Genomic DNA, 12,571 nt, shown 5'->3' with positions numbered 1-12,571 from the left:
CTCCATCTCCCACCCAGCCCTGGCCAGGGAAGGCACTGGAGGGTCCAATGAGGGCCAAGACCCCAACGAGGTGCACAGATGGCCTAACTGCCCCTGCAAGCCTCAAGCAGGTCCTAGCTTGCCCTGAGCCTGAGGGAAGAGGTCCTCATGATACCCTACTCTGGGCTCTGGGCTCAGCTCCTTGGCAGGGAGGTCCCACCTGGCACTGGTATGGTGAGCCCTGCTCAGAGAGGACCAGGAAACCTCTCAAGTCACACAGCAGTTTCAGGATGAGCACACGTTCTCTCTGGCACCATCCCTGAGGTCAGCCCAAGGTCCTCCACCCTCCCTTTGCCCAGCGATCACATCGATGGAATGACTAGAGCCCTACTGTCCCTCACTAGAGACCTACCTTTGGATTTTGAATCCTTAAGAAACAACCCAGCTGGGGGCGGGGCGTGGTGGCTCACGCCTGTAATCCCAGCACTTTGGGAGGCCGAGGCGGGCGGATCACAAGGTCAGGAGATCGAGACCATCCTGGCTAACATGTCTCTACTAAAAATACAAAAAAAAAAAAAAAAATTAGCTGGGCGTGATGGCGGACGCCTGTAGTCCCAGCTACTTGGGGCAGGAGAATGGCGTGAACCCAGGAGGCAGAGCTTGCCATGAGCCGAGATCGTGCCACTGCACTCCAGCCTGGGCCACAGAGCGAGACTCTGTCTCAAAAAAAAAAAAGAAAAAAAACCCAGCTGGGCGGAGTGGCTCATGCCTGGCCTCTAATCCCAGTACTTTAGGAGGCTGAGGCAGACAGATCACCTGAAGTCAGGAGGTCAAGATCAGCCTGGCTAACATGGCGAAAACCAGCTCTATTAAAAAAATACGAAAGTTACCCAGTGCCGTGTCACGCGCCTGTAGTCCCAGCTACTCGGGAGGCTGGGGCATGAGAATCGCTTGAGCCCGGGAGGCATAGGTTACAGTAAACTGAGACTGTGCCACTGCACTCCAGCCCGAGTGACAGAGCAAGATTCCATCTCAAAAAAAAGAGAGAGATAGGGGTATCTCTGTTTTCCCTAGGCTGGTCTCAGACTCCTGGGCTCAAGCGATCTTCCTGCCTCTCCTTCCCAAACTGTTGGGATTACAGGTGTGAGTCACTGTGCATGGCCTCAGAAGTCTTTTTTTTTTTTTTTTTTTTTTTTGAGACAGAGTCTTGCACTGTCGCCCAGGCTGGAGTGCAGTGGCTCAATCTAGGCTCACTGCAAGCTCCGCCTCCCGGGTTCACACCATTCTCCTGCCTCAGCCTCCCAAGTAGCTGGGACTACAGGCACCCACTACCACGCCTGGCTAATTTTTTTGTATTTTTAGTAGAGACAGGGTTTCACCATGTTAGTCAGGATGGATGGTCTTGATCTTCTGATCTCGTGATCTGCCCACCTCGGCCTCCCAAAGTGTTGGGATTACAGGCGTGAGCCACCACGCCCGGCCCCCAGAAGTCATTTTTTTAATAAGTTACAGTCAACCTCACCAGTCAAGGAATGAGACATGAGTGGAATTAGGTTGCCACTTCTGGAGCTCTGGGAGACCCCAACCCCCTGGCCCATCCCTACCTCCCAGAACCTCACTGGTCTGGGCGTGGCTGGGCACTGAGATAGTAGAACTCAGGCAGCATGATGCAGCCTCCCAGAAATGATTTCTAGAACAGGGCAGTCGTGATACTTGGAGGCTGGGCTTTGAGCTCGGTCACCTTTGCACCCAGCTTGGGAGTGAGAGAGTTTAAGGTCATCCTCCCTCAAAACCAGTATTCCAGATCATTTCTCTCCATTCCAGGAAGTTTGCATAGCTCCCTGGACTTCTGCTTTGCACTGCCCTGCAGGAGTGGGTGGGGAAAGGAAGTGGCTTTGAGGCACACAGAGGGGCTTGTTGAGGCCACCGGAGGAAGCTTCTGCCACCAATATGGGACCTGTGCCCAGCCTACCAGAAGAGAGCATCTGAAAACATGTATCGACATGGTAACCCCTCTGCTTGAAGCCTCACATGGCTCCCTATTGCCTTGGTGCTGAACACCCTATGGCTGACCGTGGCCCAGCCTCTGCAACAGCTCTGCCTCCTCTCCAGTGGTGAAGACCCAGCCTGCTGAGACTCCTCCTGCAGTTCCTCAACATGCCTGCATTTCTGCTGCCTCAGGGCCTTTGCGAAGGTTGTTCCTTGTAACTGGAATGCCCTTCCATCCCTTTTTTATTCAAAAGGCTGCAATTTTAATTGAAGAAAGTTCCCTTCCAAGGTTCATGAGTTGCCTGACTTGCCCACCGGTTTCCTGCAAGATCCCTTGGCCTGGCACTTAGTGCTCAGGAAATATTTGGTGATGGGCCAACTGAGTGAGAAGGTGGGATCTGGTGGGAAGGAAAGCGGAAAGGTAGAAATTCTGCTCACTTCCTCATTCCCACCTCCCAAGGAACCCCTGGTGTCCCTGTGGAACCCGCTTTGGGAACCGGTGGTTCAGGTCAGCCTTTTCACTTTGTACTCAAAGCCACATCGCATTGAAGCCACAGGTGGGGCAAGGTCATGCATGACCTGAGTCTCCAAATCCCTTCACCCTGTTTGGTTCTGCAACGGGGATTAGGGGAGCCCCACGATTTGTTTTCAAAGGATGTCCGGGCTCCAGGACAGGATGCCCTGGGTCACCTGATGACAGGTGTGGTGGTTGGAAAGGGCCTGGTTTCAGCTCCGGGTACACTTCCTCCTTCCTTCTGCTGCGTGGTGTGGCCTCTTCCACGTCCTCAGAATCCAGCTGTTACTCCGTCCGCGGCCTCTCAGCTCTAGGGCCCTCTGCACACTGGCCCCCCCAGGTAAGGCCTCTTGTCCCACTTTCACCCCCAACCCGGATCGCATGGGTCCAGGGAAAGGCCTCCTGGCTCCGAGCCTCCTCCCCTCAGCCTCAGTCCTGTCTGCTGTAATTCAGAGTGCGGGTGGGCTGGCACAAGATCCCTGGGGGAGGGTCTGCAGGCTGTGCAGTGGCCTGGCATTTGGCCAGCAGCCCCTAGTCGCAGGCAGGGGTCTTTCTGGATGCACCGAGGTGGGCTGAGGATATGGGAGGTCTGGCTGATTTGCCAAACCAGGAGGAAGTGGGTGTCTGTCTGTCTCTCTTGCAGAGCTCTGCGGTAGAATCCCGTGCCCCCCGACCCCATCAGCAGCCTACACCCCTTCATCCTTCCTGGCCCCGGATTTTCTCTGCCTCTGCCACTCCCGGTGGTAAAAGAGGGCTTAGAATGCGGTTTGCTTTCTGGCTTTGTTTTTTTGCATCCTGATCTTTGTGGCGTGGATCGATCATTTTCCAGGGAAAGTACCTTGGGTGAGATCTCTCTCCTGGACTCCCGTTCCCCGTTTCCCCCAATCTCCCCTCCTGAAGGTCACCGGCAAAGACTTCACTGTCTCCTAGGAAGAGGTCGCCATAAACCCAGGGGCCACATGATAATATATTAATATTAAATGTATCTCTAAACATTAACCTTTCACTGGCAGCCCAAGAGCCCGACAGCACAAAGGAATACTTGGTTAAAATTCAACCTCCCTCCCAGTCCGGGCTCTGAGTGTCCCTCGAGGGCTGTCTCTTGAGTCTTTTTCCAGAACTTTGGTATGCGCTTGTGCTCTCAATCCCTTCTCATCACACCTAGGTCACCATGCCTGGAGCTCCGCTATGCACCATAAGGTTTAGACCAACTCAGTTTATTTATTTTATTTTATTTTATTTTATTTTTTTGAGACAGAGTCTCGCTCTGTTGCCCAGGCTGGAGTGCAGTGGCGCGACCTTGGCTCACTGCAAGCTCCGCCTCCCGGGTTCACACCATTTTCCTGCCTCAGCCTCCCGAGTAGCTGGGACTACAGGTGCCCGCCACCGCGCCTGGCTAATTTTTTGTATTTTTAGTAGAGACGGGGTTTCACCATGTTGGTCAGGACAGTCTCTAACTCCTGACCTCAGGTGATTCGCCCGCCTCCACCTCTCAAAGTGCTGGGACTACAGGCATGAGCCACCGTGCCTGGCCTTTAAAAAGTTTTATTGAGATATCTGACATTCTGTTTTTCATCCTAAATCTTGGCAATCTAGTGTGCATTTTACCCTCAGAAGACAATTCAGACATTCAATGTCTGTCATAACTACTCAATCTGTATTTAGTTTCCATAAAATGAGGCTGGGCGTGGTGACTCATGCCTGTAACCCCAGCACTTTGGGAGGCTGAGGTGGGCGGGTCAATTGAGGTCAGGAGTTCGAGACCAGCCTGGCCAACATGGTGAAACTCCATCTCTACTAAAAAGACAGAAATTACCTGGGTGTGGTGGGGGGCGCCTGTAATCCCAGCTACTTGGGAGGCTGAGGCAGGAAAATCACTTTAGCCCGGGAGCTAGAGGTTGCAGTGAGCCAAGATCACGCCACTGTGCTCCAGCCTGGGTGACAGAGCAAGATTCCATCTCAGAACAAACAAACAAACATAAAAAGTACAGGTGAAGAAGTAGATTTGCCCATCCAAGATGTTCTGAAGGTACTCAAAAGTTTCCCAATTACTGCCTGTAATACCAGTCATTGCTTTTTTTCTTTTTGAGTATCTGTTTCTTGTGTGCTTTTTTGTGGTTTTTGTTTTCTGTGTTTTTATTTTTTGTTGTTATTTATTTATTTATTTATTTTGAGACACGGTCTCATTCTATTGTCTAAGCAGAAGTGCAATAGTGCAACCATGGCTTACAGCAGCCTTGAACTTCTGGGCTCCAGAAATCCTCCTGCCTCAGCATCCTGAGTAGCTGAGACTACAGGCCACCATGTCTGGCAAAATAATAATAATAAATAATAAAATTCGTTGTAGAGATGAGGTCTTGAGGTCTTGCTATGCTGCTCAGGCTGGTCTCAAACTCTTGGAATCAAGCGATCCTCCCACCTCAGCCGCCCAAAGCATTGGGATTATAGGTGTAAGCCATTACTCCCGGCCAGTATCTATTTTTAAGTTTAAATTAGCATTGGGCCGGGCGCCGTGGTGCACGCCTGTAATCCTAGCACTTTGGGAGGCCGAGGCAGGCAGATCACCTGAGGTCAGGAGTTCAAGACCAGCCTGGACAACATGGTGAAACCCCATCTCTACTAAAAATACAAAAATTAGCCAGGCATGATGGCACGTGCCTCTAATCCCAGCTACTCAGGAGGCTGAGGCAAGAGAATCGCTTGAACCCGGGAGGCGGAGGTTGCAGTGAGCTGAGATCGTGCCATTGCACTCCAGCCTGGGCAACAAAAGTGAAACTCCGTCTCAAAAAAGAAAAGAAAAGAAAAGAAAATTAACATTAGCCAGGCCGGGCACAGTGGCTCACAGATGTAATCTCAGCACTTTGGGAGGCTGAGGCGAGGCAGGTGGATCACCTGAGGTTAGGAGTTCAAGACCAGCCTGGCCAACATAGTGAAACTCCGTCTCTACTAAAAATACAAAAACTAGCCAGGCATGATGGTGCACACTTGTAGTCCCAGCTACTCGAGAGGCTGAGGCACGACAATCACTTGATCTCAGGATGTAGAAGTTGCAGTGAGCCAAGATCACACCACTGCACTCCAGTCTGGGCGACAGAGCAAGACTCCGTATGAAAAAAAAAATTAGCATTAACTATTCTGTTTTTCCGACAGCATGGTCACTTTTGAAGGGCTCATTGGCCACCAATTTTGATGCTGCATGTAGAGAACATTTCCGTCATCACAGAAAGTTGCTTTGTTTTTGTTGAGACGGAGTTTCACTCTCATCACCCAGGCTGGAGGGCAATGGTGCAATCTCGGCTCACTGCAACCTCTGTCTCCCAGGTTCAAGCAATTCTCTTGTCTCAGCCTCCCGAGTAGCTGGCATTACAGGCTCCTGCCACCATACCTGACTAATTTTTGTATTTTTAGTAGAGACATGTTGGCCAGGCTGGTCTTGAACTCCTGACCTCAGGTAATCCGCCCACCTCAGCCTCCCAAAGTACTGGGATTACAAGCATGAGCCACCAAGCCCGGCCCATCATCACAGAAAGTTCTGTGGGACAAGGTTATTCGGGAGATGTCAGCTCCATCTGCAAAGTCCTAGAGGAGTTTGGGGTGACATTAAGGTGGGGAGACTTTGGGGTCTGGATCAAAATGGCTCTAGTTGTGTGTACTCAGCAGGACACATAGGTGTCTCTCTGAGCCTTAGTTTCCTCATCTGTAGAATGGACAGCTGTAGGGCTGCAAGGAACAGAGAGGGGCAGGGCTGGGGTCTTGGATTTCTGTTCCCGAGGTCAGGATCTGGGGTCTGGAGGACTCTGTGACACCCTATGGGGGCGGGAAGGACCTAGGAATGGAGTGAGATTGGCCAGACCTTCAGACCTTCAAAGCTGAGGCTCAGTGGCCAGGCTCTGTTGAGGTTCACGGACACAGTCCCCTTATGTCTCTGGCTTTTTGCAGTGTCACGGGCATCCAGACGGGATCCAGTGCATCCTCTTTTAGAAGAAAGGCCTGTCTCCAGATCCCCGAGTCCCTCTAGCATCTCCCAGAAGGTGTCAGACGCAGCAGTGTCCAGGGAGCGGCAGCAGGTCCTTATCATGGTCCAAGGGTCCCTCCCAGCCTCCAAGTCTCACCCCATACATGAAAAAAGGTGGCCCCGGTTTCCCGCCACCTCCTCCACAGCACCATCTCTTTGAAGGTTTCCTCCTGTTTTTGTTTTTTTTGTTGTTGCTGTTGAGACAGCGTCTCACTCTGCTGCCCAGGCTGCTGGAGTGCAGTGGTGTGATCCAGGTGGCTCACTACTTCCGCCTCCCGGGTTCAAGCGATTCTCATGGCTCAGCTTCCCAAGTAGCTGAGAATACAGGCGCGCATGCCACCACGCCCAGCTAATTTTTGTATTTTTAGTAGAGACGGGGTTTCACCATATTGGTCAGGCTGGTCTCGAATTCGTGACCTCAAGCGGTCCACCCGCCTCGACCTCCCAAAGTGCTGGGATTACAGGCGTGAGCCACCACACCCGGCCTGAAGGTTTCTCTTTCTCTGGCTTCCCAGACCCAGTGCCCACACTCCGGGGGATTTGGGCCCTCCCCTGTCTCCCTCCAGCCCCCTGGGGCCAGTCCGCTGCTGGGTATCTCCAGGACGGGCCAGGCTCAGCAAGTTCCACCAAAGCCTGCTTCTCTCCTGGGGGTTCCCCATGTCTCTGGGTGGCCCCACTGCCCTCCTGGTCAGCATGTGAGTCCCCACGCCTGCCTATTCTCCCTCCTATCGGTCCCCACGCCTGCCTATTCTCCCTCCTATCTGTCCCCACCTCTCCCCCAGCGTCAGCCTACCAGAGGAGTAACCTTTGGGTGCTTGTTGAAAGAAACCCTGAGTGAATATTTCTATTCTCTCTTTTTTTTTTCTTTTTGAGACAGGGTCTCGCTCTGTCACCCAGGTTGGAGTGCAATGGTGTGATCTTGGCTCAATGCAACCTCTGCTTCCCAGGTTCAAGTGATGCTCATGTCTCTGTCTCCCGAGTAGCTGGGACTACAGGCATGTGCCACCATGCCCAGCTAATTGTTGTATTTTTAGTAGACATGTGGGTTCTCCATGTTGACCACGCTGGTCTCAAACTCTTGACCTCAAGTTATCCGCCCTCCTCTGCCTTCCAAAGTGCTGGGAATACAGTCGTGAGCCAATGCACCCGGCCCTGAGTGCTTATTGAATGAAACCCCGAGTGAATATTTCTTTCTTTTTTTTTTTTTTGGAGATGGAATCTCATTCTGTGTCCCAGGCTGGAGTGCAGTGGTGCCATCTTGGCTCCCTGCAACCTCCTCCTCCCGGGTTCAAGTGATTCTCCTGCCTCAGGCTCCTAAGTAGCTGGGATTACAGGTGCCCGCCACCACGCCCAGCTAATTTTTGTATTTTTAGTAAAGATGGGTTTCACCACGTTGGCCAGGCTGGCCTCGAACTCCTGACCTCAAGTGATCCACCTTCAGCCTCCCAAAGTGCTAGGATTATAGGCATGAGCCACCGTGCTTGACCCAAGTTAATATTTCTTTTTTTTTTTTTTTCCAAGATAGAATTCCATTGCCCAGGCTGGAGTGCAGCGGTGCGATCTCGGCTCACTGCAACCTCCACCCCCCAGGTTCAAGCAATTCTCCTGCCTCAGCCTCTCAAGTAGCTGGGATTACAGGCACACGCCACCACGCCCGGCCAATTTTTGCATTTTTAGTAGAGATGGGGTTTCACCACGTTGGCCAGGCTGGTCTCTTGACCTCGTGATCTGCCCGCCTCGGCTTCCCAAAGTGCTGGGATTACAGGCATGAACCACCGCGCATGGCTGCCATTACTTTCAATGGTAAAAACAGCAATTACTTTTGCACCAATCTAATATGAACTCGACACTGGCAGCCCTGAGTACTTCCTTTGCTTTCTCTGCAAACTGCTCAGGGGTCTCTCCCCACTAGGCCTTGGCAATGGTGGTTTCCTCTGCCAGGAGCACCCTTTCCCACAGGTCTACTCTATCTGGTGAGCTCTTATATTACCTCCAAAACCCAATCCCATTGTGCCCTTCCCCAGCAGAGTCATGGGTTCAAGCCTCGACTCAGGGGCACTGGGGGGCATTTATGATCGGCTGTGTCTTCTCTCCAGATTGAGGAAGAGTCTGGGGACACACCAGAAAAGGACAGGATCAAGGTGGGACCTGAGGGCCCTTGGGGCCTCTCCCAACTTCCCCAGGGACCCTTGCCCATGTAGAAAGGGCCTGTTGTCTAATGGGTGGGAGGAAGTGGACTCTGGGCCAAGCTCCCTTTGTTCAAACACCAGCTGTGCTGACTTTTGCTGTGAGTCACTTGGTCTCAGTTTTCTCATCTGTGTAACAGGAATAATAACAGCTCTTCTCAGGACTCATGGCCTGGAGCTTTGGTAAGCAGGAGATTGTCATCAATGACCCTCACTCCTCTCTCCCCACTTCCCAGATACTCTGACCCATGGATCCCCTGGGCCCGGCCAAGCCACAGTGGTCGTGGCGCTGCTGTCTGACCACGCTGCTGTTTCAGCTGCTGATGGCTGTGTGTTTCTTCTCCTATCTGCGTGTGTCTCAAGACGATCCCACTGTGTACCCTAATGGGTCCCGCTTCCCAGACAGCACAGGGACCCCCGCCCACTCCATCCCCCTGATCCTGCTGTGGACGTGGCCTTTTAACAAACCCATAGCTCTGCCCCGCTGCTCAGAGATGGTGCCTGGCACGGCTGACTGCAACATCACTGCCGACCGCAAGGTGTATCCACAGGCAGACGCGGTCATCGTGCACCACCGAGAGGTCATGTACAACCCCAGTGCCCAGCTCCCACGCTCCCCGAGGCGGCAGGGGCAGCGATGGATCTGGTTCAGCATGGAGTCCCCAAGCCACTGCTGGCAGCTGAAAGCCATGGACGGATACTTCAATCTCACCATGTCCTACCGCAGCGACTCCGACATCTTCACGCCCTACGGCTGGCTGGAGCCGTGGTCCGGCCAGCCTGCCCACCCACCGCTCAACCTCTCGGCCAAGACCGAGCTGGTGGCCTGGGCAGTGTCCAACTGGGGGCCAAACTCCGCCAGGGTGCGCTACTACCAGAGCCTGCAGGCCCATCTCAAGGTGGACGTGTACGGACGCTCCCACAAGCCCCTGCCCCAGGGAACCATGATGGAGACGCTGTCCCGGTACAAGTTCTATCTGGCCTTCGAGAACTCCTTGCACCCCGACTACATCACCGAGAAGCTGTGGAGGAACGCCCTGGAGGCCTGGGCCGTGCCCGTGGTGCTGGGCCCCAGCAGAAGCAACTACGAGAGGTTCCTGCCACCCGACGCCTTCATCCACGTGGACGACTTCCAGAGCCCCAAGGACCTGGCCCGGTACCTGCAGGAGCTGGACAAGGACCACGCCCGCTACCTGAGCTACTTTCGCTGGCGGGAGACGCTGCGGCCTCGCTCCTTCAGCTGGGCACTCGCTTTCTGCAAGGCCTGCTGGAAACTGCAGGAGGAATCCAGGTACCAGACACGCGGCATAGCGGCTTGGTTCACCTGAGAGGCTGGTGTGGGGCCTGGGCTGCCAGGAACCTCATTTTCCTGGGGCCTCACCTGAGTGGGGGCCTCATCTACCTAAGGACTCGTTTGCCTGAAGCTTCACCTGCCTGAGGACTCACCTGCCTGGGACGGTCACCTGTTGCAGCTTCACCTGCCTGGGGATTCACCTACCTGGGTCCTCACTTTCCTGGGGCCTCACCTGCTGGAGTCTTCGGTGGCCAGGTATGTCCCTTACCTGGGATTTCACATGCTGGCTTCCAGGAGCGTCCCCTGCGGAAGCCTGGCCTGCTGGGGATGTCTCCTGGGGACTTTGCCTACTGGGGACCTCGGCTGTTGGGGACTTTACCTGCTGGGACCTGCTCCCAGAGACCTTCCACACTGAATCTCACCTGCTAGGAGCCTCACCTGCTGGGGACCTCACCCTGGAGGGCACTGGGCCCTGGGAACTGGCACCCATGGGGCCCCACCCATGAGTGATGGTTCTGGCTGATTTGTTTGTGATGTTGTTAGCCGCCTGTGAGGGGTGCAGAGAGATAATCACCGCACCGTTTCCAGATGTAATACTGCAAAGAAAACCGATGATGAGGCCGGGTGCGGTGGCTCACACCTGTAATCCCAGCACTTTGGGAGGCCGAGGCAGGCGGATCACAAGGTCAGGAGATCGAGACCATCCTGGCCAATATGGTGAAACCCGTCTCTACTAAAAATACAAAAATTTGCCGGGCGTGGTGGTGCATGCCTGTAATCCCAGCTACTTGGGAAGCTGAGGCAGGAGAATCGCTTGAACCAGAGAGTCGGAGGTTGCAGTAAGCCGAGATCGCGCCACTGCACTCCAGCCTGGCGACAGAGCGAGACTCTGTCTCAAAAAAAAAAAAAAAAAAAAAAAAAATTAGCTGGGTGCGGTGGCCGGTGCCTGTAATCCCAGCTACCCAGGTGGCTGAGACACAAGAATCGCTTGAACCCAGGAGGCAGATGTTGTAGGGAGCCATGATCGCACCACTGCACTCCAACCTGGGCGACACAGTGAGACTGTCTCAAGAAAAAAAAAAAAAGGGGGGAGTGTCCCTTTCTGAGTGTGCAATTCTGTGTGGAAGGTGACTGTGTAGGATCATGGGTCCTGCCTGCTGAGCCCTTATGGGTGGTGATCTCTGTGTCTTGTGAGTGTGCTTGTGTGTGTGTGTGAGAGAGACCCTCATCCGGTGTGCCGATGCGCTGATGACAACCGCAGCCCCAGGGAACTGCAGGGGCTTCTCGGTTTATTTATGTTCCAATTCCCTGGTGGGCTGGGCCCGCGCCCTGTGGTTGGGACGCTGGATCTGGGTGGGAGACAGGAAGGCCGAGGTCCGGGAGGCCCCGGAGGGTGGGCAACACTCACACACACATGCACACTGTGGCAGGGGAGCTTCGGGGGGGCGGCAGACCCCTGATGGTCAGCTTTCTCGCTGTGTGTCCTGGGCTGAACAACACTCCTCTCTGAGGCCAGGCCATCTAGGATGGGGAAACTGAGGCTCGGAGTAAGCGTCACTTGGGCTTCCGCAGCGTCTGGGAACTCCGGCCTCTCTGCGGAGGCCGGGCTGAGTCGGCCCAAAGGGTGGAGGAATCCACCACCTTAAACCTCAGAGTCAGAAGACTGCGGGGGTAGGCGGGGACCCCAGCCAGCGGCAGCCCTGAAACTGCTTCCCAAGCAGATCACCCGCCTGGCCGCCAAGCCCTGCTCTCAGGGCTCCCTGGAAGTCCTGCTGATTAGCCGCCTTGAGTGTCTCCAGCTGTAGCTGTGGGTCCCCGGGAGCCAGGGGCTAGGGATGTTCCTTCATGGCTGGGTGATTCTCCCTGGGGGCGGTTTCCGATCTGCGCCCTCCAGCTTTGCGGGGGGTGGGGGGATGCGGGCTGAGCCTGGGAAGGGACACTGTGGTTAGAGGGTGGTCCTAAGGGCAGACGTGTGGGAAGGAGGGGAGGGGGCCCAGCTAAGGAGAAGGGTTGTAGCCTTGGGAACCCCCAGTCTGAGGGGCAGGAGGGGAGGAGTCTCGCCTCGCCGGTGCCTGCTCTGGGCTCGCAGTGCCCGCCCCTTCCCCGCCCCTCAGACCGACCGTGGGACCCGCCGACCCCTCCCGCGCTCTGGCAACCCAACACCCGAGGCCTGCCAAGCATCAAGGTGACACCGTGGGGAAATCTAAACACCGAGCCGGGCTTTTTCCATACTCCGCAGGGGCTCGTCGTAAATCCCCCCCGTGGAGGCCCGGCCAGGGCTTTTATGGGCCGAGGACCCAGGTCTCTGGGGACCCAGCTCTACACCAGCAGGCGCCGGCTTCGGGCTGGATGGGGCTGGCGCCCGCCCCAGGCCTCTCCCCGCCGGGAGGTGGGCAGCGTGCGGGTATTTTTAGTAGCTGGTGGAAGGAGATAGTGGCTTTCAGCTCACCCTGGTGGGCGAAGACCGGCCCGAGGAGGCCGTCGGATAAGGGAGGCCCAGGTCCACCTGGACCTCACTCTCCTCACCCCCAGAGTGGCTCCCCCTTCCTAGAAACCCACATAGCGGGATCAGTGCGGACAGGGAGACGCTGGGG

The 12,571-nt window shown here is 55.0% G+C and overlaps 1 protein-coding gene across 19 annotated transcripts, besides 1 other annotated feature; it reads left to right on the top strand.

Annotated features, from left to right (window-relative positions):
* Nucleotides 1,797–11,091, top strand: FUT6 (fucosyltransferase 6). Of its 19 annotated transcripts, none has more exons than XM_047438561.1 (6): nucleotides 1,797–2,822; nucleotides 3,126–3,325; nucleotides 6,422–6,549; nucleotides 8,594–8,638; nucleotides 8,920–9,974; nucleotides 10,091–11,091. In XM_047438561.1, exons 5-6 carry the CDS (start codon nucleotides 8,932–8,934, stop codon nucleotides 10,119–10,121), a joined length of 1,074 nt encoding a protein of 357 aa, XP_047294517.1. In that variant the 5' UTR covers nucleotides 1,797–2,822; nucleotides 3,126–3,325; nucleotides 6,422–6,549; nucleotides 8,594–8,638; nucleotides 8,920–8,931; the 3' UTR covers nucleotides 10,122–11,091. The 19 variants fall into 19 exon arrangements, with proteins under 19 accessions (XP_047294517.1, XP_047294516.1, XP_047294514.1 ...); NM_001381958.1 differs by lacking the exons at nucleotides 3,126–3,325; nucleotides 8,594–8,638 and adding exons at nucleotides 7,013–7,192; nucleotides 7,375–7,492 and having other exon boundaries at nucleotides 2,707–2,822; XM_047438560.1 differs by lacking the exon at nucleotides 3,126–3,325.
* Nucleotides 12,389–12,438: a silencer, noted in NCBI's record as "silent region_9936". NCBI's record gives its function as "represses an Ori minimal core promoter by ATAC-STARR-seq in GM12878 lymphoblastoid cells {active_cell/tissue: GM12878}" and the evidence as "EXISTENCE:reporter gene assay evidence [ECO:0000049][PMID:35858748]".

The sequence above is a fragment of the Homo sapiens genome, chromosome 19 (assembly GCF_000001405.40).
Source record: "Homo sapiens chromosome 19, GRCh38.p14 Primary Assembly".
Taxonomy (NCBI): Eukaryota; Metazoa; Chordata; class Mammalia; order Primates; family Hominidae; genus Homo; species Homo sapiens.
The sequence above is the reverse complement of the archived record's forward strand: the minus strand, read 5'-3'. Positions and strand labels throughout refer to the sequence as shown.

Coding starts and splice junctions, on each gene's coding strand:
- FUT6 (NM_000150.4), top strand. CDS start 8,932: ATGGATCCCCTGGGCCCGGCCAAGCCACAGTGGTCGTGGCGCTGCTGT.